At 48.0% G+C, this 27592-nt stretch overlaps 1 protein-coding gene and 1 long non-coding RNA gene across 4 annotated transcripts in view, besides 5 other annotated features; one reads left to right on the forward strand and one right to left on the reverse strand.

Annotated features, from left to right (window-relative positions):
- Positions 1689–2888: an enhancer, noted in NCBI's record as "MED14-independent group 3 enhancer chr3:47403837-47405036 (GRCh37/hg19 assembly coordinates)". NCBI's record gives its function as "activates an origin of replication core promoter dependent on BRD2, BRD4, P300/CBP and CDK7 cofactors, and independent of MED14, by STARR-seq in HCT116 cells {active_cell/tissue: HCT116}" and the evidence as "EXISTENCE:reporter gene assay evidence [ECO:0000049][PMID:35650434]".
- On the reverse strand, positions 18434–20834 carry PTPN23-DT (PTPN23 divergent transcript). The gene has a single exon (NR_185912.1). It is a non-coding gene; the product is annotated as a PTPN23 divergent transcript (long non-coding RNA).
- Positions 19749–20426: an enhancer, noted in NCBI's record as "H3K27ac-H3K4me1 hESC enhancer chr3:47421897-47422574 (GRCh37/hg19 assembly coordinates)". NCBI's record gives its function as "activates a minimal SCP1, AML or CMV promoter by ChIP-STARR-seq in naive H9 embryonic stem cells {active_cell/tissue: H9 hESC(naive)}" and the evidence as "EXISTENCE:reporter gene assay evidence [ECO:0000049][PMID:30033119]".
- Positions 19936–19995: an enhancer, noted in NCBI's record as "active region_19813". NCBI's record gives its function as "activates an Ori minimal core promoter by ATAC-STARR-seq in GM12878 lymphoblastoid cells {active_cell/tissue: GM12878}" and the evidence as "EXISTENCE:reporter gene assay evidence [ECO:0000049][PMID:35858748]".
- Positions 20166–20385: an enhancer, noted in NCBI's record as "active region_19814". NCBI's record gives its function as "activates an Ori minimal core promoter by ATAC-STARR-seq in GM12878 lymphoblastoid cells {active_cell/tissue: GM12878}" and the evidence as "EXISTENCE:reporter gene assay evidence [ECO:0000049][PMID:35858748]".
- The window catches only part of PTPN23 (protein tyrosine phosphatase non-receptor type 23), a 32415-nt gene continuing 25185 nt past the window's right edge, over positions 20363–27592 (forward strand). For all 3 annotated transcript variants that reach the window (NM_015466.4, XM_005265031.3, NM_001304482.2), the window contains exon 1: positions 20363–20522. In NM_015466.4, coding sequence (NP_056281.1) covers positions 20439–20522 — 84 coding nt within the window. In that variant the 5' untranslated portion in view covers positions 20363–20438. The remainder of the gene's footprint in view (positions 20523–27592) is intronic.
- Positions 20427–21102: an enhancer, noted in NCBI's record as "H3K27ac hESC enhancer chr3:47422575-47423250 (GRCh37/hg19 assembly coordinates)". NCBI's record gives its function as "activates a minimal SCP1, AML or CMV promoter by ChIP-STARR-seq in naive H9 embryonic stem cells {active_cell/tissue: H9 hESC(naive)}" and the evidence as "EXISTENCE:reporter gene assay evidence [ECO:0000049][PMID:30033119]".

Genomic DNA, 27592 nt, shown 5'->3' on the forward strand with positions numbered 1-27592 from the left:
GCCAACATGGTGAAACCCCATCTCTACTAAAAATGCAAAAATTAGGCAAGATGCGATGGCTCATGCCTGTAATCCCAGCACTTTGGGATGCCAAGGCAGGTGGATCACCTGAGGTCAGGAGTTCGAGGCCAGCCTGACCAACATGGTGAAACACTGTCTCTACTAAAAATACACAAAAAATTAGCTGGGCGTGGTCGTGGGCACCTGTAATCCCAGCTACTCAGGAGGCTGAGGCAGGAGAATTGCTTGAACCTGGGAGGAGGAGGTTGCAGTGACCCGAGATCCCACCATTGCACTCCAGCCTAGGCGACAAGAGCAAAATGCCATCTCAAAAAAAAAAAAAAAAAAAATTAGCTGGGCATGGTGGCACATGCCTGTAGTCCCAGCTACTTGGGAGGCTGAGGCAGGAGAATGGTTTGAACCTGGGAGGCGGAGGTTACAGTGAGCCAAGATCTCACCACTGCACTCCAGTCTGGGTGACAGAATGAGACTCCATCTCAAAAAAAAAAAAAAAAAAAAAGATTTAATGAATGGCTTCTGGATTTTGGACTTGCATGGGGCCTGTAGCCCCTTTCTTTTGGCCAAATTCTCCCTTTTGAAATGATAATGTTTACTCAATGCCTATACCCCCACTGTATCTTGGAGGTAAATAATTTCTTTTTGATTTTACAGGCTCCTAGGTGGAAGGGACTCATCTCTAGCTAAGACTTTGGACTTGAGACTTTTTTTTTTTTTTTTTTTTTGAGTAGGATTTTTGCTCTGTCACCCAGGCTGGAGTGCAGTGGCTCGATCTTGGCTCACTGCAACCTCTGCCTCCCGGGTTCAAGCAATTCTCCTGCCTCAGTCTCCTGAGTAGCTGGGATTACAAGCGCGTGCCACCAAGCCCGGCTAATTTTTGTATTTTTAGTAGAGACAGGTTTTCACCATGTTGGTCAGGCTGGGGGACTTTTGAGTTAATGCTGGAATGAGTTAAGACTTTGGAGTCTAAGTGCTTGGGAGTTGATAAAACAATTTTTAAAATGAATAAATAAGTAGGCCAGGAGCAGTAGCTCATACCTGTAATCCCAGCATTTTGGGAGGCTAAGGTGGATGGATCACTCAAGTCCAGGAGTTCAAGACCAGCGTGGGCAACATGGTGAAACCCCAACTCTACAAAAAAAATATAAAAATTAGCCAGGCATGGTGGCATGTGCCTGTGGTCCTAGCTACTCTGGAGGCTGAGATGGGAGGAGCACTTGAGCCTGGAAGGTGGAGGTTGCAGTGAGCCGAGATAGCACCACTGCACTCCAGCCAGGGTGACAGAGCAAGAACTTGTCTCAAAAAAATAAAATTAGGCCAGGCACGGTAGCTCACACCTATAATCCCAGCATTTTGGGAGGCCGAGGCGGGTGGATCACCTGAGGTCAGGAGTTCAAGACCAGCCTGGCCAACATGGTGAAACGCCATCTCTACTAAAAATATTTAAAAATTAGCCAGGCATGGTGGTGGGTACCTGCAATCCCAGCTACTCCAGAGACTGAGGCAGGAGAATCACTTGAACCTGGGAGGCAGAGGTTGCAGTGATCCGAGGTCGCAGTGATCCGAGGTCGCACCATTGTACTTCAGCCTGGGCAACAAGAGTGAAACTCTGTCTCAAAAAAAAACAAAAAACAAATAAGATTTTAGGGGACTGTTGTAAAGGCATAATTGTATTTTGCAATGTGAGAAGGACATGAGATTTGTGGGGGCCATGGGCAGAATGATGTAGTTTGACTGTATGTCCCTACCAAATCTCATGTCAAATTGTAGTCCCCAGTGTTGGAGGTAGAGCCTGGTGGGAGGTGTTTGGATCATGGGGGTGGATCCCTTATGAATGACCTGGGCCATCCCCTTCATGATAAGTGAGCTCTTTCTCTGAGTTCCCACAAGATCTGGTAGTTTAAATGTGTGTGGCACGTCCCCTCCACCTTGTTCCTGCCTTCACCATATGACGTGCCTGCTCACCTTTCACCTTCTGCCATGATGGCAAGTTTCCTGACGCCTCCTCAAAAGCCAAGCAGATGCCAGGACTATGCTTCCTATAAAGCCTGCAGAACTGTGAGCCAATTAAACCTCTTTTCTTCATAAATTACCAAATCTCTGGTATTTCTTTATAGCAATGCAAGAACGGCCTAATACAAGTCACTTCCTGTCTTTGTCCCTCAATTTCCTCCTCTGTGTGAGGAAACAGGAAGAAGAATCCCTGCCCTGCGTATTCAGCTGCCACGTGAGGTAATAGTGCAGGAAGGGGAAACCGGAAACCCCCAAAGGTGTTGGTGAGACCAGTTCCCTTCCTGTCTGTCCTCTGAAACAGCTCTGCATATTCCCCCAAGCCCAGGACCTGAGTATAGTCTGGATCCCCAGACTTCGCTGGATGAAGCTCTAAATTTACCAGCCAGCTGGCTTTCAGGCCCAAGATTACTATCTTGTCTTACCTTCAGGTGAGAGAAACATTATAATAACATCAATAACGAACAGTAACCAAGCACTTGGTGCCTGTGCCAGGCATTCTCTCCTGCCAGCCATCCTTACAGGTATGAGGCAGGTAATACCTGCTTCCCCACTGTCTCCTACCCAAGCCTGGGCCCTTGAGACACTCACCGACCTAGCTAATGGGATGGCCTCCAGCAGTGGAAACGGGACTTTCCCAATTATCCCCATGGTAGATTTTTAAGGCCTGGGTGACAATCTCATAGCTCAACAGCACTGGGCCACCACTGTCAAGCCTGCCAACACTCACGCCCTCCAGGCCCCTGCCATTATCCCTTCTCTGATAGACTGCCACTTTTAGGAAGAAGAGATGTGTAACTTACTACTCTTTATATATAGATATTAGAATTCATCTCTTGAAATGATACACATTTTCTAACACCCCCAAAATGCCAGTAAGAATGATTAAAGGGCTGGGTGTCGTGGCACATGCCCATAGTCCCAGCTACTCCAGAGACAGAAGAGGGAGAATGCTTGAGCCCAGGAGTTCATCAGCCTGACCCCAACACAGCAAGAGCCCATCTCCACAAAAAATTAAAAAATTAGATAGGCATGGTGGCACACACCTGTAGTCCTAACTATTCAGGAGGCTGAGATGGGAGGAGTGCTTGAGCCTAGGAGTTAGAGGCTCAAGTGTGAGAACAGACACTCATAGCTCATGGCATAAGCTATGATCATGCCACTGTATGTATTTAAAAAAAGATTAAAGGTTGAGGGGATGGAAAATGGGATGGGATAGGAAATGGGGTGGGAAAAATAAAAATAAAAGCAGAGAGGGGGATTGCGCAGACCAAGGAAGATAGCATGTCAACCCACCCCCGATTAAGGCATAACTCCTTGTATATAAAATTAAGCACCAATCAACATCCTAACAATATCATTATTAGGGCATCTGAAAGAACGTTCACTAAAGTATGCTTATCTCTATGTTTCTTCTTTTAGCTTTTATTATTTGAAAACTTTCAAAATAATAAACTTTCAGTTTTACAAAAATAACAAAAGTATTTTAAAAATGCCCATGCGGAGTCTGCATTTTATTCCACAATACATCTGCAACTTTTTTTTTTATTTTTTTGAGGTAGGTCCTGCTCTGTCGCTCTGTAGCTGGGTGCTCTGCATCTGTAGCTACAGGCATGAGCCACCAAGCCTGACTAATTTTTTGAGGAGGCAAGGGTCTCACTATGTTGCCCAGTCTGGTCTCAAACTCCTGGGCTCAAGCAATTCTTCCACCTTGACCTCCCAAAGTGCTGGGATTGCAGGCATGAGCCACCATGCCTAGCCAGCTTTTTATTTTTTATTTTTTATTTTTTTTGAGACAGAGTCTTGCTCTATCGCCCAGGCTGGAGTGCAGTGGTGCCATCTCGGCTCACTGCAACCTCCACCTCCCGGGTTCAAGTGATTCTTGTGCCTCAGCCTCCCGAGTAGCTGGGACTACACGTGCCTGCCACCACACTGGGCTAATTTTTGTATTTTTAGTAGAGACAGGATTTCACCATGTTCGCCAGGCTGGTCTCAAACCCCTGACCTCAGGTGATCTGCCCGCCTCGGCCTCCCAAAGTGCTGGGATTACAGGAGTGAACCACTGCACCTGGCCAAATTATTATATTTTTTATGTTGAGTTGTCTATAAATGTTTTAACATTGAAATATTTTGTATTGGGCCGGGCGCGGTGGCTCACGCCTGTAATCCCACCACTTTGGGAGGCCAAGGAGGGCGGATCACGAGGTCAGGAGATTGAGACCATCCTGGCTAACATGGAGAAACCCCGTCTCTACTAAAAATACAAAAAATTAGCCGGGCGTGGTGGCAGGGCGCCTGCAGTCCCAGCTACTCGGGAGTCTGAGGCAGGAGAATGGCGAGAACCCGGGAGGCGGAGGTTGCAGCGAGCCAAGATTGCCCCACTGCACTCTAGCCTGGGTGACAGATCCGAGACTCTGTCTCAAAAAAAAAAAAAAGAAATATTTTGTATTAATATTTCCATGGTGGGGCAGAAACTCCAGTAAAATCAACCCTTTAGATGCTGCGGATGTGTTTGTTCAGGGACTGTGTACTCCCAATACATGACCCGCCGTCAGTTTGAGAAGCTTAGATTGTCCCCACCATTGACAGATGAGGAAAATGAGGCCCCTAGCCAGCTTTTTAAAATGTTCAATAGAACTCTTTTTATTGAGATAAAGTTTATGTACCATAAAATACGCCCTTTTAAAGTGTACAATTCAGAACATTGTCATCAGCCCCAAAAAGAAACTTTGTACCATTAGCAGTCATTCTCCCATGTTCCCCTCCTCTCAATCCCTGGCAACCAATCCACTCTGCCTTTATGGATTTGCCTATTTAGGACATTTCATGTAAATGGAATCGTGTTAATCTGTGGCATTTGGTGTCTGGCTTCTTACACTTACTTCGGTATTTTCAAGGCTCATCTATGTTCTGCCGTGTGTTAGTACTTCATTCCTTTTTATGGCTGAACTGTATTCTGTGGTATGAATAGTCCACATTTTATTTATTCATTCATCAGTTTATAGCCATTTAGGTTGTTTCCATGTTTTGGCTATTATGAATAATGCTGCTATGAATATTGATATATGAGTTTTTGTATGGAGATATGTTTTCAATTATCCAGAAATGTATAGCTAGGAGTAGAATTTCTGGGTTATATGGTAACTCTATGTTTAACTTTTTGAGGAACTGCCAAACTGTTTCCCACAGAGGCTGTGTCATTTTACATTTCCGCCAGCAATCTGGGAGGGTTCCAATATTCCCATACCCTTGCCAACATTTGTCTCTCTCGCTTTTTTTTTCTGAGACAGACTCTGTTGCCCAGGCTGGAGCGCAGTGGCTTGATCATGACTCATTGCAGCCTTGAACTCCCAGGTTCAAGCGATCCTCCACCTCAGCCTCTCGAGTAGATGGGACTACAGGTGCATGTCATGACACCTGGCTAATTTTTTTTTAATTAAAATTTTTTGTAGAGATGGGATCTCACTATGTTGCCCAAGCTGGTCTTGAACTCCTGGGCTCACATGATCCTCCTGTCTTGGCCCCCAAACTGCTAGGATTACAGCTGTGAGCCACCATGCCCAGTCTGCCCCTCTTTTTTTATTACAGCCATCCTAGTGTGTATGAAATGATATTTCACTGTGGTTTTGATTTGCATTTTCCTAATGGCTAATGATGTTGAATATCTTTTCTTGTGCTTATTGTCCATTTACATATCATCTTTGAGAAATGCCTATTCAAGTCCTTTGCACATTTTAAAATTATTATTATTACTATTATTTTTTTGAGACAGTCTCGCTTCGCCCAAGCTGGAGTGCAGTGGTGCAATTCCAGCTCACTTCAACCTCCACCTCCTGGGTTCACACAATTCTCCTGCCTCAGCCTCCCGAGTAGTTGGGATTGCAAGCGCCTGCTACCACACCAGCTAATTTTTGTATTTTTAGTAGAGACTGGGTTTCACCGTGTTGGTCAGGCTAGTTTCAAACCCCTGACCTCAAGTGATCCATCTGCCTCGGCCTCCCAAAGTTCTGGGATTACAGGTGTAAGCCATTGTGCTCAGCCAAATTATTATGTTTTTTTATTGTTGAGTTGTCCATAACTGTTTTAACATTGAAACATTTTGTATTAATATTTCCACGGTGGGGCAGAAACTCCAGTAAAATCAAGCCTTTAGATGCTGTAGCGTGTTTGTTCAGGGACTCTGCACTCCCAATATGTGACTCCCCATCAGTTTGAGAAGCTTAGATTGCCCCCAGCATTGACAGATGAGGAAAATGAGGCCTGTACAAGTTAGGAAACTGGCTGGGTGTAGTGGCTCATTCCTGCAATCTCAACACTTTGGGAGGCTGAGGCGGATTGCTTGAGCCCAGGAGTTCAAGACCAGCCTGGGCAACATAGCAAGACCCCATCTCTACAAAAAAATAAAAAATTAGCCAAGGGTGGTGGCATGCACCTGTAGTCCCAGTTACTCAGGATGCTGAGGTGGGAGGATTATTTGAGCCCAGGAGTTCAAGGCTCCAGTGAACTATGATTGCACCACTGCACTCCATCCTGGGTGACAGGAAGATCTTGTCTCTTAAAAAAAAAAAAGAAGAAAAAAAAATGTTGACCGGGTGTGGTGGCTCATGCCTCTAATCCTAGCACTTTGGGAGGCCAAGGCGGGCAGATCACCTGAGGTCAGGAGGTCGAGACCAGCCTGGCCAACATGGTGAAACCCCATCTCTACTACAAATACAAAAATTAGCTGGGCATAGTGGTGTGCGCCTGTAATCCCAGCTACTCAGCAGGCTGAGGCATGAGAATCGCTTGAACCTGGGAGGCGGAAGTTGTAGTGAGCCGAGATCACGCCACTGCACTCCAGCCTAGATGACAGAGTGAGACTCTGTCTCAACAACAACAATAACAACAAAAGTTAGGAAACGTGTTCAAATTACACAGCCAAGTCTTATGTAGAATAGTGGGAAACTGGGGAGATTTACCTGGAGGAGAGGAGCAACAAGGTTTCAGTTCCCGGCTCTTGAAAGGCTGCGACAAACAAGACAACCAGAATGTTTTTGTGGCCTCAGAGCCAGAATCAGAGATTGCACTCTCAGAGGGAGACATGTCAATGGGAAAGGCCTCCTGACAACAGCTACAGCCTAGCATGACGGAGGCGGCTTGGGAAACATTGAACTATGTCTGGACAATCCACTGGCAGGAAAATCATAGGAAACTGTAGGGGCCATCTGATGCTTGGCCTCTTCGGCATCTATTTCCCCTACCTTTTTTCCCTTCGAATAGGGCCTCAATTTCCTTTTGAGGATCTGCATGGTTCTAGGAGTGGAACTTAGAGTAACTAGACTTAGCCGAAGTCTACCAGTGCCTCTCATCCCTCCATTAATGTGGTTCAGGGTATGCATGTGATTAGCTGGTCCAATTAGAATACATCTCAAAACTTTTGGTGGGAACACAGAACACTTTCTCTTTCTTTCTTCCTTCCCTCCCCTCCCTCTCTTCTTCTTCTTCTTTTTTTTTTTTTTTTTTTTTTTTTGTTTTTGAGACGGAGTTTTGCTCTGGTTGTCCAGGCTGGAGTGCAGTGGTGCGATCTCGGCTCACTGCAACCTCCACCTCCTGGGTTCAAGCGATTCTCCTGCCTCAGCCTCCCGAGTAGCTGGGATTACAGGTGCCTGCCACAACACCTGGCTAGTTTTTTTGTATTTTTAGTAGAGACAGGGTTTCGCCATGTTGGGCAGCCTGGTCTTGAATTCCTGACCTTGGGTGATCCGCCCACCTCGGCCTCCCAAAGTGCTGGGATTATAGGCATGAGCCACCATGCCTGGCCTGCCTGCCTGCCTTCCTGCCTGCCTGCCTGCCTTCCTTCCTTTTTTCTTTCTCTTTCTTTCCTCCTCCTCCTTCTTCTTTTTCCTCTTCTTCTCTGTCTTTGTTTCCTTTCTTCTCTCTCTCTCTCTCTCTCTCTCTTTCTTTTGAGACAGACACTCTGTTACCAAGGCTGGAGTACAGTGGCAAAATCCTAGCTCATTGTAGCCTCAACCTCCCAGGCTCAAGCAATCCTTCTGCTCAGCTTCCTGAGTAGCTGGGACTACAGGCATACACCACCACACCCAGCTAATCTTTTTAATTTTTTGGTAGAAACAGGGTATCACTATGTTGCTCAGGCTGATCTCAAACTCCTAGGCTCCAGCAGTCCTCCCACCTTGGCCTCATAAACTGCTGGAGTTACCAGTGTGTGCCACTGCACCAGACCAAGGTATTTCCTGCTCCTTGGAAATAATAAGGGAGCCTGACTAGATGTGACAAAGACGACATCTTGGATATGAGGTGGGCTGCCCTTAAAATGAGATCAGCAGCACAGAAGGCACAGAGGAGAGAGAGAAACAAATCCTTACTGATATCGCTGAGCTGCTGGGTCACACTTTGCCTGAAGGTGGAGGGGGCCTCTGGAGTTTACTGTTTAAACTAGTTTGAGTGGGCTTTTCTGTTACTGGCAACATGAATGCAATAAATATAGGGCTCAGGCATCCAATGGAGAGGGGTGGGGACAAAACCTTGTAGCCTTTATGATCCTGTCAATCCCTAAGCCTCTATAACATGTCCAAAGACTTGAGGTTGGAAGGCAGTAGTCAGTCTTGGGAACTCAGGTGGGAGGCTCTCAAGTAGAAGAAAGGTGTTTTTGATAGGTAGACTTTACAGGGTATAAGTTCAAATGATCAAACTCCGTTATAGCTACATGAAAACCCTTCAATAACCTATGCTTGATAATCAACCCAGAGCAGCTTCAGGGTACAGCTGTATAAGCCCCTCCTCTGCTCCAGGGTCCCATAGATCTGGGTTCAAATCCCACCTCTGCCGCTTCCCCACTGCTTCTTAGTCAATCTCTCTGGGATTCAGTTTCTTCATCTATAAAGCAGACAGAAAGCTAATATGGGCAACCTGGGCCAGTGTGGGAGGTAGGGGAAGCTTCAGGTATGGTGGCTTTTGCTGCAGTCATGGCGCAGAGATGCACTGGAGACCCTTATCAAACACAGAGCTCTTACCCCTGCCAAGCATAGACAAGGGGACTACCATTAACTCGATTTTGCAGATGAGGAAACAAAGGCACTGGGAGGTTAAGAACGGGACGCAGGCCGGGCGCGGGGGCTCACGCCTGTAATCTCAGCACTTGGGGAGCCAAAGCAGGTGGATCACTTGAGGTCAGGAGTTCGAGACCAGCCTGGCCAACATGGTGAAACCCCGTCTCTACTAAAAATACAAAAAAAAAAAAAAAATTAGCCGGGCGTGGTGGCGAGCACCTGTAATCCCAGCTACTCAGGAGGCTGAGGCAGGAGAATCACTTGAACCCAGGAGATGGAGGTTGTGGTGATCTGAGATCACACCACTGCACTCCAGCCTGGGCAACAAGAGTGAAACTCCATCTCAAAAACAACAACAACAACAACAACAAAAACAGGACCCAGGCACAGAGCTGGTAAGTGGAGGTGCTGGGGATCCACCCCAGGGTAGTGTCACACACCCAGGCTGCTCTGCTCGCAGTCAGAGGAGGAGCGGCAGTCAGAGGAGGAGCGGCAGTCAGAGGAGGAGCGGCAGTCAGAGGAGGAGCGGCAGTCTGATGTTGGTTTGGCTGCTGGGGCCTGAGCTGCAGAAGGCGAGGGCAGGATTCCAGGCACCCAGGAAGAGCTTTCTCCGAGACCCACCCACATGGGACTTGACCCTGGGGCCTGAGGTTGGGTGACAGCTGGAAGGTGCAGAGAGCCGGAAGTGGATTCCCCTACCTCACCCTGGGAAAAGTCTTCACCTGCAGGAGATGAAAGATCCCTTTCAGGTGAGTGGTTCCGCTCCACAGTTATTACTTCCATCTTCTCCGCACAGAGCCAGCACTACAGGCAGCTGAGACCTGTGACTCCTTTTGGATGTCCCCAAAGCCTCTACACCTCCCTTGAGAAGATGGCTGAAGCAAAAAGCTTTCACAAGGGCTGAAGAACTGTGATGAAAGAACCCTGGTGGGCCTGTGTAAGCCCCGGACCTCAGTGGCAGCTTCTCTTTGCTATAATGAAGTAGCCAGGAGGCGGGCACAGATTCTAGGAACCCTTGCCTAAGCGGCCTGCACAAGTCGAATGGGGTGAAGAAAGCGGCTGTGGCCACAGTGGGGCCACATGGGGCACCACCTGATGTTCCAAAACCCAAATGGTGGATACAAGTCACTCTATTACCCATGGAGACAGAGACCTTGACTAGGAAGGCTTTGCATCTGAGAGTCCCACAGGTGATCCCAGTCCTGACCCAGTGGCTTTGGCACCCTCAAGAGGGTGCTGCCCAGCCAGCCTGCAGGGTCTCACTGCAAAGGCGAGGATGTCTCAAAGTTCCACCATGTTCTGCTGTGCTGTAGCTCACTGCCTGGCACCAGACAACCTCGGAGGGTGTACCTGGGCAATCCCGAAGGCCCCATCCGCCCCGGAGGCCCTTCCTTCCTTTCAGTGGCCTGAACTTGGGAGTTTGTACCAGCCAGGAGAGGAATAAATTCTCCATTGCTACCTTTCCTTTCACAGACACTGGTACCAAAGGGCCACTTGCATAAGAATTAAATCTGGTCCTGAGCAACAAAAAGCCCTGATTTTAAATATGTGGGTGTGTTTTTGTGCAGCCAAAGGCACCCCAGGATTGTGGCTGTGTTGTGGCAACACTGTGGCCTTGGCGCCATCTGCTGGCCAAGTGACCCCCTCCCCCCCACCCCCACCCCGCCGCCGGCCCCCCAACCCCTAGGCTGGGAGCTGGGGAAGGGTTGTGATTTTGTGGATGGATTCAGAGGCTTCCAACCTTCCTGAATATTTGCAAACCCGGGATGTTGGATCCTTTCCTAGGGAGAATGTGCCCAGCGCTCCTAGAGTTCCTGGAGGGTCTGGGACCCTCTGGAGGGAAGAGGAGTGCTGCACCACTGAGCAGCCTTTTTTCTGCTCTGACGGGGAAGGTCCCCACTGCTTTCTAGGCCAGTGGAAGAGGGCTGCCTCAGAGGCCCCTCCCCGACCTCTAGGATCCTGGCTGGTGGCTGGGAGGGAAGGAATAAGATGGGGATGCTTCCTGCTCTGGCCTCCACTCTGCCAAGTGTGAGACCAAGAGAGCTCCCCTTCCCCCTTTTGCCTTCTCTTATCCTCCTCCCCACTTCTCCTGCCACAGCTAACCTCTCTTCTGGCCCTCCCTCAGAGCCCACGTGGTGTTTTGGACAGCCCCTTTCCCATCGCACACCTCAGTTTCCCCACCTGTAATGCAGTGGTTCTGGATTCTCATACATGGGAGATGGCAGCAGGGGAGGACTCCATGTTTCCTGTTTGGGTGGCTATGACTATTCCTTTCTGACACAGCTCCTGGTGCTGTACACAGGAGTCTTTCAACGGTATACAGGCACCCAGCAGGTCACAGGGGCTGATAGTGTCAACTTGGCTAAATAAGGCCAGTTTTCCAAAATGGTGGCACCAATTCACAGCCCTATCTACAGCCCCATCTCACCAACACTTATTATTGACAGATGTATACTCATCATTCTGATGACTATCAAGTGGCATTTCAGTGTAGTTGGGGTTTGCATTTTCCTGGTTACTGATGAGGTTGGACATCTTTCCATGTGGTTTTGGCTGTTCCTGTAAGTTCCCATCCAAGTTGTGTGCCCATTTGTCCATTGGATTGTTTGTCTCTCTTGAGAACTCATCAGACTTTTTTACATATCCTTAATGGTAATCCTTTTTTGATTATGTCTCACAAATATCTTCTCCCAATTTGGTCTTGTCTGTTCATTTTCTTTATGATGTCCTGTTTTTCTTTTTAACTTTTTATTTTGACATAATCTCAGACTTACATCGAAAAGTTGCATGAATAGTGCAAAGAATTTCTTCATACCCTTTACCCCAGTTCCCCAAATGTTAACATTTGACATTTGTGTCCCTCTCTCTTTCTTTCAGTGCCCCCATATATACACACATATCTCCCCTCCCCTTCCCTGAGCCCCAAGTCACTTGGGAGTAAGGGGCAGAATACTGCCTTTTTACTCCTAAATACTTCAGTGTATATTTCATTTTTGTTTTTAGATGGAGTTTCACTCTTGTTGCCCAAGAATGCAGTGGTGCAATGTCTACTCACTGCAATCTCCTGGGTTCAAGTGATTATCCTGCCTCAGCCTCCTGAGTAGCCGGGATTACAGGCACACACCACCACACCTGACTAATTTTTGTATTTTTAGAAGAGATGGGGTTTCACCATGTTGGCCAGGCTGGTCTCGAACTCCTGACCTCAAGTGATCTGCCTGCCTTGGCCTCCCAAAGTGCTGGGATTACAGATGTGAGCCACTGCACCTGGCCTGGTGTATATTTCTTAAAAACAAGAACATTATCCTATATGTAAACATTACCACAGAACAACTGTCAAATTCAGGAAATTAACACTGAAACACTACCATTATCTAATCTACAGACTTTATTCAGATTTCATCACTCATACTAGTAATGTCCCTTGGAGCCGAGGTGAGTGGTGGGTGGCAAGCATTACCACCTGAGCTCCACCTCCTGTCAGATCAGCTGCATTAGATTCTCATAGGAGTGCAAATCCTGCTGTGAACTGCACAGGTGAGGGATCTAGGTTGTGTGCTCCTTATGAGAGATGATCTGAGGTGGAACAGCTTCATCCTGAAACCATCCCCTGCCCCTCATCCACGGAAAAATCGTCTTCCATGAAAGCGGTCCCTGGTCCCAAAAAGTTTGGGGACCGCTTCCTCAGAACAAAAAGAACATCCCATATCATGTGTTACACTTCTTTAGTATGCTAAAGAGGTTATGTCTATGTTTCTTTATACTTTAATCTAGAATAGTATTTCTTTGTGTTTCATAAGACTGACTTTTTGGAGATGATAGACCAGTTCTTTTATAGGATGTCCTTCAATTTGGGATTATCTAATGTTTCTTCGTGATTAGATTAAGGTAATGCGTTTTGGGTACTGTGTCCTCAGAGCATCATACCAGAAGGCACATGATCTAGATTTCTCTCATTGCTGGTGACATTAAACTTCATCACGTGAGTAAGATGAGGTCTACTAAGTTTCTCCATATAAAGCTACTGTTTTTCCCTTTGTGATTATTAAGTATCTAGGGGAGATACCATGGACTGTGTAATTACCCTATTAGTTTATTTCTCAAGTCTACTGGTTTTTATGTCCATTGATGATTTTTGTCGAATTATTAATATGGCTGCCAAATAGTGATTTTCTAATTTTATCCTTCCTCATACCTCATACATCTATTAGTTGGCTTTTGGTTGTTTGTTTGTTTTGTGACGGAGTCTCTCTTGTAGCCTAGGCTGGAGTGCAGTGGCACAATCTCAGCTCAGTGCAACCTCTGTCTCCCGTGTTCAAGTGATTCTCCTGCCTCAGCCTCCCAAGTAGCTGGGATTACAGGCGCCTGCGACCATGCCCGGCTAGTTTTTGTATTTTTAGTAGAGACGGGGTTTCACCATCTTGGCCAGGCTGGTCTTGAACTCCTGACCTTGTGATCCACCCACCTTGGCCTCCCAAAGTGCTGGGATTACAGGCGTGAGCCCCACTGTGCTTGGCCTGATTAGAACCTACTTAATCCAGTATGACCTCACCTTAATTTGATTATATCTACAAAGACCTTATTTCCAAATAAGGCCATATTCACAGATACTGGTGGGGGATGCCAAGGCTTCAATATATCTTTTAAGGGGAACAATTCAACCTGTAACAGACTCCAATTTGTTTTTTTGTTTTTTGTTTTTTTCATATGGATGACCAGTTAGCCTGCATCATTTATTCAGTAGCCATCCTTCCTCACTGGCCTGCAATACTACCTCTGAGTCCATTAAGTAGATGTGGATGCCTTGGGTCTATTTCTGGGTTTTCTGTTCAGTTCTGAGGGTCTAATGTTGCATTCCTGAACAAACACCCACACTGTCCCAATTACTCAGCTTTCTAGCAGGCCTAGATATCTGGTAAAACAAGTCTGCTCATTTTGTTTCTCTTCAAGACTGTCTAGTGGCTGGGCACAGTAGCTCATGTCTATAATCCCAGTACTTTGGGAAGCTAAGGCAGGAGGATTACTGAAGGCCAGAGTTTGAGAACAGCCTGGGCAACATAGCAAGACCCTTCTCCATAAAAAATTTAAAAATTAGCCAGGCATGGTGGCACACACCTGTAGTCCTAGCTACTTAGGAGGCTGAGACCAGTGGAGTACTTCAGCCTAGGAGTTTCAGGCTGCAGTGAGCTAGGATCATGCCACTGCACTCCAGCCTGGGCAACAGACCAAGACCTTGTCTCTCAAAAAAATAAAAAAAAAAAGAGAGATAGATTGTCTAGGCTCTTCTGCGGTCTTTGCTTTTCCATATAAATTTGAAAAACAGTATGCCAACTTTCTCACAAAAAAACTTGGGAGTTTGGCAGGAATTGCACTGAGCCTATGGATCACATCTCCTCTTCCAGGTTCCAGGAAACCTTCCCTCCTCACTAGCCCCATTAGGCTCTCTGTCCCCTCTGGTTTCACACTATCCCCACCCCATTCTGTGGGGGTGATCTGGCCCCCTTGACTGGCCTGAATACCGCAAACCACAAGGGTATGTTCCTTTCAAAAGTCTCCTTCATGTCTCTTGCGTGTGTCCAGACCAAGATCTGACTATGACGACCCTGAAAGCTAGATCTGAGTGACACAGTCCTCCTGTCTCCACTCTCCCCTCTACAGAGCCCAGAGTGTTGTCTTAGGAATCCTTGGTAGGGCTCTTCCTCTAATCCCCTACTCAGTCTATGTAACCCTTAAACAAACTTAGGCCAGATCATATCCCTAGGTCTATTCAAACCCTCCCCATGGTTCCCCAGCTTGTCCAAAGAAAACCCACGTCCTCATCATGGTCTTCGAGACCCAACTCCATCTGCAACCACCCCACTCCATCTGCAACCCCTCACCTCACCCCTCCTCATTGCCTCTGTGACTCCATCTCCTCTATTCTACACACTCACTCGACCGCAGACACTCTGGCCTCCCTGCTGTTCTTCAGGTATGCCAGACACAGTCCTGGTTCAAGAACTTTGCATTTGCTGTTCCCCCTTTCTGAAACATACTTCCCCTAGTTATGCCCTGTCTTGCTCCTTCACTTCGTTCAGATCTCCGCTCAAATAGTATCTTCTCAGTGAAGCCTCCCCTGACCACCCAATATAAAATTGCATTGTCCCCTACCTATACTCCCACCTTCCTCTCCGTTTGATTTTCTTCCAACCACAACAGTTGTTGCCATCTAACATACTGTCTATTCTTTATTGTGTTAATGTCTATGTCCCTCCCTAAAATGGGACCTCATGTGGGCAGAGCTCTTTACCTGTTTTGATCAACAGCACCTAGAACAAATGTCTAGGACACTGTGGGTGTTGAATAAATATTTGTTGAATAAAAGAACTGAGAGAGATGAGACTCATGCCCAGCCCAGACTCTTTTTTTTTTTTTTTTTTTTTTTTTTTTGAGACAGAGTCTCGCTCTGTCCCCAGTCTGGAGTGCAGTGGCATGATCTCAGCTCACTGCAACCTCTGCCTCCCGGGTACAAGCGATTCCCCTGCCTCAGCCTCCCAAGTAGCTGGGATTACAGGTGCCCGCCACCATGCCTGGCTAATGTTTGTATTTTTTAGTAGAGATGGAGTTTCACCATGTTGGCAAAGCTGATCTTGAACTCCTGACCTCAGGTGATCTGTTTGCCTCTGCCTCTGCCTCCCAAAGTGCAGCCCAGACTCATGTATATTCACTTGTTGAGACTTTGGGTGGTCCCCTCCCCAGTCCAGGCCTGGGTTTCTACATTGGTAAAATGGGGAAGGGTGTGTGTGTTTTTAAGGGCCCATCCAACTCTGCTGGGTGTGATGGGGAGGCTGTCTTGAGAAAAGGGTGTGCTGCCCCCTCGTGATGAGGCAGACTCTTCCCCAGGACCATCAAGTCTTAGGCTTCTAACTCCCAACCCTGCCTGGAAATACATGTTAGGAGGGCACTCCCTGCCCCGGAGTCACCCTTTCTGCTGTCTCACCTCCACCAACCCATCCCCGCCCTCAGCATTCAAGGCCTGTGAAGGTCCTCTTGGTCTTTGATGCCTTTCACACCAATTGCCCTTCATGTCACTGTGACCCTGTGTTATGGGCTAAATGTGCCCCCTCCATTACTCCTCATTTCATGTTTGAAGTCCTAACCTCCAGTACCTCAGAATGTGACTGAGTTTAAAGGCAGGGTCACCAGGCCCAGGGATAAGATGGCCATTAACAAGCCAAAGAGAGAGGCCTCAGAAGAAACCAACTCTACTAATACCTTATCTCAGACCTCTAGCCTCCAGAACTGTGAGGAAATACATTTCTGCTTAACCTACTCAGTATGTGGTACTTTCCTATGGCCACTCTAGCAAATGAATACACCCTGGAACTCACAGAATACTTTATTTCTTTTGTTGTAGTTCAACTCCAGAAGCACCATGTGGGGACAAGGTGTTCCCATTCCACCTCGGGAGTAGAGGCCAGGGGAAGGAAAGGCAGTAGGGCCAAAGCTATCACTGTAGGAAGCTCATGAGATAGGGACCCATCTGCCCAGCTCTCCTGAATCCTGGAGCCTCGCCAGAGCTCCCTCTTGCATCTGCAATTCCACCTGCCTGGAATGCCCATCTCTATAGGTCTTCTCTGTCTTGCAAGGCCCAATTTAGGGCTTCCTACTTCTCCCCTTCCTCTCTCACTTCCTGTTCCAGCCCATACTGAACTGCAACAGCTTAATCCTGACCCCTTGCTGGCCTCAAGTTTGGGTCCTGGGCTGTCTGTGTCCTGTGGCCAAGCAGCCGCCTGCTTCTTTGCTCAGTAATGCTATGATGTAGTCTCCCAATTCCCAGCCTGCTCTGGACTCAGCTGTTGTGCCTAGGTCTTGCAGCTCCCTCATGGCTGACCACTGCCTCACCATCAGAAAGCCCCAAGGTAGGCTGCTTTATGCTTTTGTATTTTACTTACTACAAATTGTGTTCGGGCAGTTTTGCAGGTTGTAGGCCTTCCCATACTTTCTTTCTTGTGTTTGTTTTGAGACAGAGTCTTGCTCTGTCACCCAGGCTGGAGTGCAGTCGTGCAATCTTGGCTCACTGCAACCTCCACCTCCCAGGTTCAAGCGATTGTCTTGCCTCAGCCTCCCTAGTAGCTGGGACTACAGCCACACGCCACCACACCCAGCTAATTTTTGTATTTTTAGTAGAGGTGGAGTTTCACTATATTAGCCAGGTTGGTCTTGAACTCCTGACCTCAAGTGATCCGCCCGCCTTGGCCTCCAAAAGTGCTGGGATTACAGGCGTGAGCCACCATGCCCAGCTTTGCCCAAAATTTCTCTATCTCTGTCCAGGTGACCTCAAGATGGTCTTCCAGGCTGGGCGCAGTGGCTCTTGTCTGTAATCCCAGCACTTTGGGAGGCTGAGACAGGCAGATTGCTTGAGCCTAGGAGTTCAAGACCAGCCTGGGCAACATGGCAAAAACCCATCTCTACAAAAAATACAAGAAAAAATTAGCCAGGCCTGGTGGCACACGCCTGTACTCCAGCCACTAGGGAGGCTGAGGTTGGAGAATTGAGTGAGCTCAGGAGGCCAAGGCTGCAGTGAGCCGACATCACACCATTGCACTCTGGCCTGGGCAAACAGAGCAAGACTCTGTCTCAAAGAAAAAAAAGTCTTCCAGAAACAAGCTCTTCTAAGATGCTGGAAGAACTGGCAAAATTTTTCTTTCTCTTTAAATAAATTATTTGCAAGGTCTTATATTTTATTTTTTTTAAACTGTGGTAAAATATACCTAACAAAGTTTACAATTTTTCTTTTTTTTTTTTGAGACAGAGTTTCGCTCTTTGTTGCCCAGGCTGGAGTGCAATGGCACAAATCTTGGCTCACCGCGACCTCCGCTTCCCGGGTTCAGCGATTCTCCTGCCTCAGCCTCCCGAGTAGCTGGGATTACAGGCATGCACCATCAGGCCCGGCTAATTTTGCATTTTTAGTAGAGATGGGGTTTCTCCCTGTTGGTCAGGCTGGTCTTGAACTCCCAAATCAGGCGATCCACTCGCCTTGGCCTCCCAAAGTGCTGGAATTACAGGTGTGAGCTACCGTGCCCAGCCACAAAGTTTACAATTTCAAGCATACAGTTCAGTGGCATTAAATTGTTCAGATTGTTATACAGCCATTAAACAGTAACTCTCCATTCTCCCCTCCCCTAGCCCAACAGACACCATTCTACTTTCTGTCTCCATAACTCTGACTAACTAGGTATCTCAGATAAGCAGAATACAGTATTTGTCCTTTTGCAACTGGCTTATTTCACTTAGCATAATGTCTTCAGGGTTCATTCATGTTGCAGCATGTAACAGAATTTCATTCCTTTTTAAGGCTGAATAATATTCCATTGTATGTACACACATCATCTTTATTCATGCATCCATCCATCACTGCATGGATTGCTTCTCTTTTGGCTACTGTGAAATGGTACTGCTATGAACATTCATGTAATTTCATTTTCTTCTGCTCTAACTCCAACTGGAATGAAGCTAGGCCCTTGACTAAGTCTTGAAAGGGTTTGAGGTCTCACAACAAAGGGACCTGGGCTCTACCTTGTGGGTGAAGCCTGTCTTAGAATCCCAGATCCCACCCACATCCCACGGTCTCCATAATTTTTCTTTTTCTTTTCTTTTTTTTTTTTTTAACACATGGTTTCACTTTTGTCGCCCAGGCTGGAGTACAATGGCACAATCACGGCTCACTGCAACCTCTGCCTCCCGGGCTCAAGGTTCCTCCCGCCTCAGCCTCCTGAGTAGCTGGGACTACAGGCGTACATGAGCCACCATGTCCTGCTAATTTTTATATTTTTTGTAGGGACGGGGTTTGGCCATGTGGGCTAGGCTGGTCTTGAACTCCCGGGCTTAAGCGATCCGCCCGCCTCGGCCTCCCAAAGTGATGGGATTACAAGCGTGAACCACCGCACCCGGCATCGTGGTCTCCACATTTCATCCAGAACGAGTCAAAGGCCTTGACCTCGAGCTTAACACGGACCTGAACCTTTGCTCTTCCCTTGTTTTCCCTTATCAGTAAACAGCCCCACAGCCACCCACCTGCACAAGCCAGAAGCTTGGAAATCATATTCGACGTCCTCATGCCCTTACATCCATCCATTCCAAGTTCTGATACTTTTGTCTCCAAAATATTCCTCAAATATTTCTCAAAGTGGGCAAAATATTTCTTTGCTCACTTTTTACTTCCCTCTGCTCCAAGCCACAATCACCTGTCTCCTGGAAGACTACAAAAGGCTCACTGATCTCCCAGCTCGCACTTTTGCACTCACTATCTCCAGGCCATTCTCTGTTATTTCTATTGTTACTATTATTATTTTGAGACGGAGTCTCGCTCTGTCGCTCAGGCTGGAGAGCAGTGGCAAGATCTAGGCTCACCGCAATCTCCGCCTCCCAGGTCAAGCGATTGAACCTCCAGCCTCAGCCTCCCGAGTAGCCTATTATTTATTTCTAAAAGTAGGTGATACAGCCATATGATTTAACAATTCCTGCTCTATAGGTCCCCTCTCCAGAGGCAACAGGTGCTCTCCATTCCGTGGTCTCCTTCCAGATACTGTGGGCGTCCCTGGGTGCTCACCTGGCCGTATACCTTCCCCCACCCACTTCCCCACAGGGCCCGGGGCCTCCTCACTCCGCTTGAGACCCTCCATCCAGGCGCTCCCTCCCTATCGTCCGTCTCCCTTGGGCACTGCCCGGCCTCCCAGGCTGGGCTGAGTAGGCCAGTCTCCGGTCAGTGATTCTGTTCCAAAGCTCGAAAGCCTTCGCAGCACTGGGACTGAAACCCCCAGCTCTCAGCCCCGACTCCTTCAGGCCAGGTGCTCCCTCCGCACCCTCTCTAAGGCCCGTTTTCGCGTCATCTCTTTCCAGCGGCCCGCCCGCCACGTCATCTCTACCACAGCACCAGTCCTCCACGGCTCTTGACAATACGTGGGAGGGCAAGTTCATAGGTGAGGTCTCATGCTCTTCCTAGGAGGGAGGAGCGCGGCGGGCGGGACCCGCAGCTGGGCTTGGCCCGGGAGCGGGGAATAAGCTCGCTCCGCGCCTCTCAGTTTAGTGGATGAAGACTACTATCCCAGAAGCCGTTTCGCCTCGGGCTGGCGAGCTCCTCCCCGCCCTACTCCCTCCGCGCGAAGAAGACTGAGCATGCGCAACAGGGACAGCGCCTGCGCAAAAGACTACGCGAGCGGGTGGCTGGGTTCACTGCAACTCCCGGCAGGCCGCTGGCATTTTTCATTCCCTCCCGTGACCAGTGACTTCCGGCACGAAGGGGCGGGGCTGGGCTCGTGGCTGAGCCAGCAGCTGCAGCAGCTACGGGAGTGGCCGGGTGGCCGGCGGGTGCCAGCCGCCATGGAGGCCGTGCCCCGCATGCCCATGATCTGGCTGGACCTGAAGGAGGCCGGTGACTTTCACTTCCAGCCAGCTGTGAAGAAGGTGAGCTTGCCTTCCATCTTCCCCCCTATCCGCCGCGTATCTCCGTCGTCTGCAAGCGCGTGACGCCCCCCTGCGCGCCCATCACCTCCTCAGGCCCGGTCGCAGGGTCCGGTGAGGCCAGGAGGGGCCTTCGCCGGTTTTCCTCAGCCTGTCCCACACCCCGGCGCCCGCAGGCCATTCTTCTCCTCCCCGATAGCCCCGTGCTAGCACCTGCATCTTCATCTGAACCCGGTTCCCGACTTCTGCCCCGAGTCATCCGCTGTTCCCACTGAGGCAGCACACTTCCTCCTTCTGACGCTCGGACCCAGTTCTGCCCCGCCCCTCCTCCATGCCAGGACCGCCCCGCGCGGGAGCGGTGGGCGGCCCTGACCGTGCGGATTCTTTTGCTGCGCCCGGCCCTCGGTGCGCTGTCAAGTCCACGCCCGCCTGGGACAGACACTGGGGATGGCTCAGGGGCGTGTGTTTAAGACGTGAGCCCCGGTGGCCCAGGGAGATGCCCGACCCCTGCGGTGAGGGTTTGTTTTACAATTGCTGCGATTCTGTATGGTCTCCCATTCGGGAGTCTCTTTGGACCAAACAATACAATCCCACGACATTTTTAGGAGGGTTACTGCTTTTCGTAACCGACTGGAGGGCATAAACAGTGTTGTAGAGCTCAGAGAAATCTTACTGTGTTGGAAGAACAGACGGGCAGGTTTGGCGTTGACTAAGGCAAGGAACTTCTGTGGAGAGGTTCAGGTGTGGTGATTGAACACAGGTGCCCTCCGAGACATCCGCTGTATTGGTAGCACTGAGGGCTAGAGCAGAAATGAAAAGGAACAACCAGGAGGCCGTCGCAGGTGGGGGGCCTTGTGGGCTTAGCACAGCAGATGCCAGAGTAAGCCCCAATCTAGATGGTGCACCACTTAGCGAGACGCTTGGGAAGACAAATAGGAAAAAGAAAATGGGTTTGGAAGTAGTTTCCCAAGAAGCTGTCTCCCCTCTAATCGCCATACACCATTGCCTTAGTTCAGACAGTGTTTGAGTCCATCATCTAGCCTCTTGGGGCCAGGAAATGAGGGTAATTGATCCAAAATTCTAGAATTTTGTTAACGGTTATCCAGACGTTGCTCTCTTCTTCATCTGCTGTTTCTTTTTCCTACCTTTTTTTTTTTTTTTGAGACGGAGTTTCGCTCTTGTTGCCCAGGCTGGAGTGCAATGGCACGATCTCGGCTCACCGCAACGTCAGCCTCCCGGGTTTAAGCGATTCTCCTGCCTCAGCCTTCCAAGTAGCTGGAATTACAGGCATGCGCCACCATGCCCGGCTAATTTTGTATTTTTATTAGAGATGGGGTTTTGCCATGTTGGTCAGACTGGTCTCGAACTCCTGACATCAGGTGATCCGCTTGCCTCGGCCTCCCAAAGTGCTGGGATTACAGGCCTTCATCTGCTGTTTCATACAAATACAATTGGATGAATTTTTCTAAGACACAACAGAACTCCTGTTTTCTTTTTCTTTTCTTTTTTTTTTTTTTTTTTTTTTTTTTGAGACGGAGTCTCACTCTGTCACCCAGGCTGGAGTGCAGTGGCGCAATCTCAGCTCACTGCAAGCTCCGCCTCCCGGGTTCACGCCATTCTCCTGCCTCAGCCTCCCAAGTAGCTGGGACTACAGGCACCCGCCACCACCCCTGCCTAATTTTTTGTATTTTTAGTGGAGAGGGGGTTTCATCGTGTTAGCCAGGATAGTCTCGATCTCCCGACCCGTGATCCACCCACCTTGGCCTCCCAAAGTGCTGGGATTATAGGCATGAGCCACCGCGCCTGGCCAAAACTCCTGTTTTCTGTTTTACAGAATAGATCCGGTATCTTTTTTTTGGAGACGGAGTCTTGGAATAGAGCCAGTATCTTTAGTTTTCCATTAGAGTTCTTCCAGACTTATCCCACTTCTTTCAGCATTTATTGAGTCCCCACTGTGTGCTTCATCTACTGTGTGCATCTGATAGAGGTACCCTAGATTCTGTTCTCAGTCACTTGCTGTTTCCTTACCATACTCTGTTTCCTCTTCTGTGCCGTTGGTCATGGAATTCCTCCTGCCTAGAAGAGGTCTCATTTTGCCCTGTGGGGTGGTGAGGTGCCCTTCTTCAATCTCCGTGAATTCCATTTTCTTGTCTCCCATCCAACTTTCAAGGTCTACTTAAGCTCTCCTTTCTGCAGAGCCTTTCTTAATCTTTCTACCTGGATTAATCTTTCTCTTCTCTTAATTCCTTAACTCTTTTCATCCTTTCCCTGGTGACAGTTATGTATGCTGTGTTTTAACCCCCCTGTTCAAGTGTGTGTTACCTGAGAAGCATCTCTGTGTTCCCCAGAGCCTAACAGTGTACCCTCTACATAGTTGGCAGTCAGAAAAATATTTCTCAAATGATTGAATTACAGCTGAGCGGAAATTTAGAGATGGTGACCATAAATATATGGGAATGCAGTAGATAAAATCTTGGCCCAGAAACTCCTAGGAAGTATTTTTGTTTGAACTTAGCCTTTGCTGCTCTGACGATTCACACCGACCCAAAGGGTATTGTGTGACCAGTGACTTCCCTCCATGCACCTGGGCCTCCAGGAGAGGAGTTGCTCATTAGCCCTTTAGCCCGAGGTGGTATCAGATATGAAACAATTACTCCTATAGACACTGGAGGAGACTGTGCAGACACCACTGCAGCCTGGGGACTCTTCCCAACCTGCACCCCCTTCCCCAACTGCAGAGCCCCTTCTCTGCCTTCTGCCACTGGCACCCTTGTCCTGCTTTATGCTTGCTCTGAGCTGTGGGAACCTCTGCCAGTGAATTGGAGCTGAGGGTTAGAATTTAATTTAGAATAGAAGGGTGAAAATTGGTTCTGTTTACATCAACTGGTTAAGTACTATGCTGAACCTTGATAAGCAGACAAGTAAGAGACAGCCTTTTTTTTTTTTCAAGGAATTCATAAAGGAAATTTAAAAATTATAGTGATGACATTAAGAGTAGAAGTATTTGTAGGCCGGGTGCGGTGGCTCACGCCTGTAATCCCAGCACTTTGGGAGGCCGAGGCGGGCAGATCACGAGGTCAGGAGATCAAGACCATCCTGGCTAACACGGTGAAACCCCATCTCTACTAAAAATACAAAAAATTAGCCAGGCATAGTGGCGGGTGCCTGTAGTCGGGAGGCTGAGGCAGGAGAATGGCGTGAACCTGGGAGGCGGAGCTTGCAGTGAGCCAGGATCGTGCCACTGCACTCCAGCCTGGGTGATAGAGCGAGACTGTCTCAAAAAAAAAAAAAAAAAAAAGAGTAGAAGTATTTGCAGTGTATAGAAATACCAGCCTGAGGAGGGGCCATCAGGGAAGGCTTGCCAGAGATGGATTTTAAAGGATGAATAGGAGTTTTCCAGACAGGTAAAGGGGTTCGTTGTTTGAGAGGGCTGGGCTTTTGACAAATCTTTCATGGTGGCTAGTATTGATTTTCACTCCCAGTAGACAAGCCTTCCATTATGGCATAATGTGAAATAGAAGCCAGAAAAACAGGATGGTTTTGAACTGCAGTGGCAAACTTTAGGTTAGGATATTGGACCCGTGTGAATTTTTTTTTTTTTTTAGATGGAGTTTTGCTTTCGTTGCCCAGGCTGGAGTGCAATGGCACCATCTTGGCTCACCACAACCTCTGCCTCCCGGGTTCAAGCGATTCTCCTGCCTCAGCCTCCCAAGTAGCTAGGATTACAGGCATGTGCCACCACGCCTGGCTAATTTTGTATTTTTAGTAGAGACGGGGTTTCTCCATGTTAGTCAGGCTGGTCTTGAACCCCCGACCTCAGGTGATCTGCCTGCCTCGGCCTCCCAAAGTGCTGGGATTACAGGTATGAGCCGCCACACCCAGCCAGACCCACGTAATTTTTTAGTGGGGAAATGCTGCTGGCCTTGCATCTTCTTAACTTGTGCTTTGGAGGCCAGAGTGCTGATTCACTGGAAACTGATGATGGATGACTCTTGTCCTCTTTATCAGTGAGTGATTTGGCCTCAGGTATTTCTGTTTGAAGTTCTTTATTCTTTCTGGCCCAAACACTTGCCCTTAACCAGCTGTACTTGAGCTCAAGTCCAGCTTACTTGGACTGAGCTGTTACGTTCATCCCTGATTCATTCATTGAACAAATAGTTATTGAGTGCCTGTCATGTGCCAGCCCTGGGTACAGTGGTGACAAAAACCTGTGTCTTGGCTGGGAGCAGTGGTTCTAACCTGTAATCCCAGCACTTTGGGAGGCTGAGGCAGGTGGATTGCTTGAGTCCAGGAGTTTGAGACCAGCCTGGCCAATATGATGAAACCCCATCTCTACTAAAAATACAAAAATTAGCTGGGCATGGTGGTGCGTGCCTTGTAGGCCCAGCTACTTAGGAGGCTGAGGTGGGAGGATCACTTGAACCCAGAGGTGGATGTTACAGTGAGCCAAGATCACACCACTGTACTCTAGTCAGGGCGACAGAGTGAGACCCTGTCTCCAAAAAAACACCACAAAACCCTGTCTTCATGAAACTTACCTCCTAGTAATCTACACAGTAACCCTCATCCTCAAGTGCAGGTGTACATCTGGCTGGTAGCCACCCTGCCTGTCACTTGGCTTCTCTTCATCTCCCATCCTCCCACTCTGGCTGAGTTGATCTCTAAATCTCTACTTTCCCATCAGGCTGCTCATGGCCTGTCCCCAGCTTGCTTCAGCCTGTCTCTCTAACTTCACTCCCCAGTCCTCTCCTATGAGAACTTTCAGCTTCTCTTCCTTCCACATCTGGTCACTGCCCTTGCTCAGGCCCTTACTGGAATTCCCTTCCTCCTGTTTATCACATGGGTTGAACTGTACGTCATTAGGGTCCTCTCAGCCACCCAGCAAGTGTTTGGGCCAGAAACAAGAAAGAACTTTTCCCTCCTCTGAATTCAGACTGTCTTGCTGTCCACCACTGGGTTAGCCTGCACCACAGAGTGCACGCTGGTTTTTTTTTCTTTTTTTTTGGAGACAGAGTCTCGCTCTGTCACCCAGGCTGGGGTATAAATGGTGCAATCTTGGCTCACTGCAACCTCTGCCTCCTGGGTTCAAGCAGTTCTTGTGCCTCAGCCTCCCGAGTAGCTGGGATTACAGGGGTGTACCACCACGCCCAACCAATTTTTGTATTTTTAATAGAGATGGGGTTTCGCCGTGTTGGCTAGGCTGGTCTCGAACTCCTGACCTCAAGTGATCTGCCCACCTCGGTCTCCCAAAGTGTTGGGATTACAGGCATGAGCTACCGTGCCCAGCCCACAGTGCACACTCTTGTTGCCTTTTTTTTACTGTTCATTTTATTCACATCCGGGTAGAAGCCTGGTTTTTCAGGCTTATGGAATTTTTTCCCCTTCCAGATTTTCCATGGGATGGCTGGCTCTTGAAAAACTAGCTTGCACATGTATGTACATACACAGACACATACATAGAAAGGTAAATAAGAGGACTAGAGGCCTAAAAGGCCTCTGGCTGCTCAGCAGTGAGGGGCATGGGACATTGCCTGTTACCTGTGGTGGTGACCTGTCTTATCTCTTGTCACAGATTTGGAGTCACCCAGTTGCCTGAGCCTGTCTGTTCACTTGTATTTGCAGCGGAACAGCTCCAGGCACAGATGACCTGGATTGTCCATTATTCTCTGACTTGAATCTCATACACCAGAGGCCTATATCCATTTCAGTTAGAGTTTAGACCAGATTCTTTCCTTTACTCAGGACGTAATAAAATATTTGTATATAGGGAGTGCTTAACAAGCATTGGTTGAATGACCTAGTCTAGTTCTAGGACCTTCTGGGAGAGGTAACCTGAGTCTTCCTCACTGTGTTGTTCAGACAGGCAAGGGGCCATTCAGAAAAGATGTGGGAACGAGGCCTTGAGTATTATTGTAGGGATTAGACAAGGGGAGGATGAAGGTATGTTTTTATCCCCAGTACTCTTGGCCTATGGCGGTTTTCTTTCAGGCTTGCTGACATGGACCAAGGAGCTGAAGATTTCACTTGGCAATACGCCATTCTCTGAATATAATTAGTCTCATTTGAAATTTAGTAGCTGAACATATACTGTATTAATTAACAATACTGGTCAGGCACGTTGGCTCATGCCTGTCATCCCAGCACTTTGGGAGGCCAAGGCAGGAGGATCAGTCAAGACCAGGAGTTTGAGACTAACCTGGGCAACAAAGCAAGACCCTGTCTCTACAAAAAAAAAAAAAAAAAAAGAAAGGTCAGGCGTGGTGTGGTGGCACACACCTGTAGTCCCTGCTACTCAGGAGGCTGAGGTGGGGGGTATGGCTTAAGCCCAGGAGGTCGAGGCTGTGGTGAACCAAGATCTCGCCACTCCAGCCTGGGTGTCAGAGACCCTGTCTCAAAAAAAAAAAAAAAAAGTTTGTTTCTTAGAGTAGCCCAAGGAATGCCCTACATTTGAGTCAACTCTGGAACTGGAGAAAAAAGAAACATAATGTAACTGGTGAATAAAGGTAAAACTAACACATGTGATGCCTTTTAATTGCCTTTTCTTCTTGTCTTATTGCTTTAATTAGCATGATGAAATTCCAAATGTTAAATTAAGAGCAAAGCATACATAGAAGAATGAGAACATACTAGTACAAGAGAAGGTGACACAGAGGGATTAATATTAGGTCTGGAGTCAGGAAATCTGTCTTGGGGTCCTAGCACTATCATTGCTTATCTGTGGTTTGCCCTTTCTCTAATCTGCAAAATCATGGCAGGACCAGGATGGTTGTTTCCAGTGATCTCACCTAGCTACAAAATTCTCTACTGTTTGGTGCTCAGTAAAATAGCAGAGTAGCATCATGGAAATAGCATAGCTATTGGAATCAGACCTTGGTTTAGGTCCCCTCTCATTCCTTTAATAGCTGAATGATCTTGAGCTGTCACAAAGATTACATAACTAATGTAGTCCTCACTTTTCTTACCTGAAACATGGAACTAATAATATACCTCATAAGCTTCTGAGAATCAAAATTAATGCTTCTAAGTTCTTTTTTATTTTTATTTTTTTAGAGATGGGGTCTTGCTGTAACACC

This window comes from Homo sapiens, chromosome 3, assembly GCF_000001405.40.
Source record: "Homo sapiens chromosome 3, GRCh38.p14 Primary Assembly".
In the NCBI taxonomy this organism is placed as follows: Eukaryota; Metazoa; Chordata; class Mammalia; order Primates; family Hominidae; genus Homo; species Homo sapiens.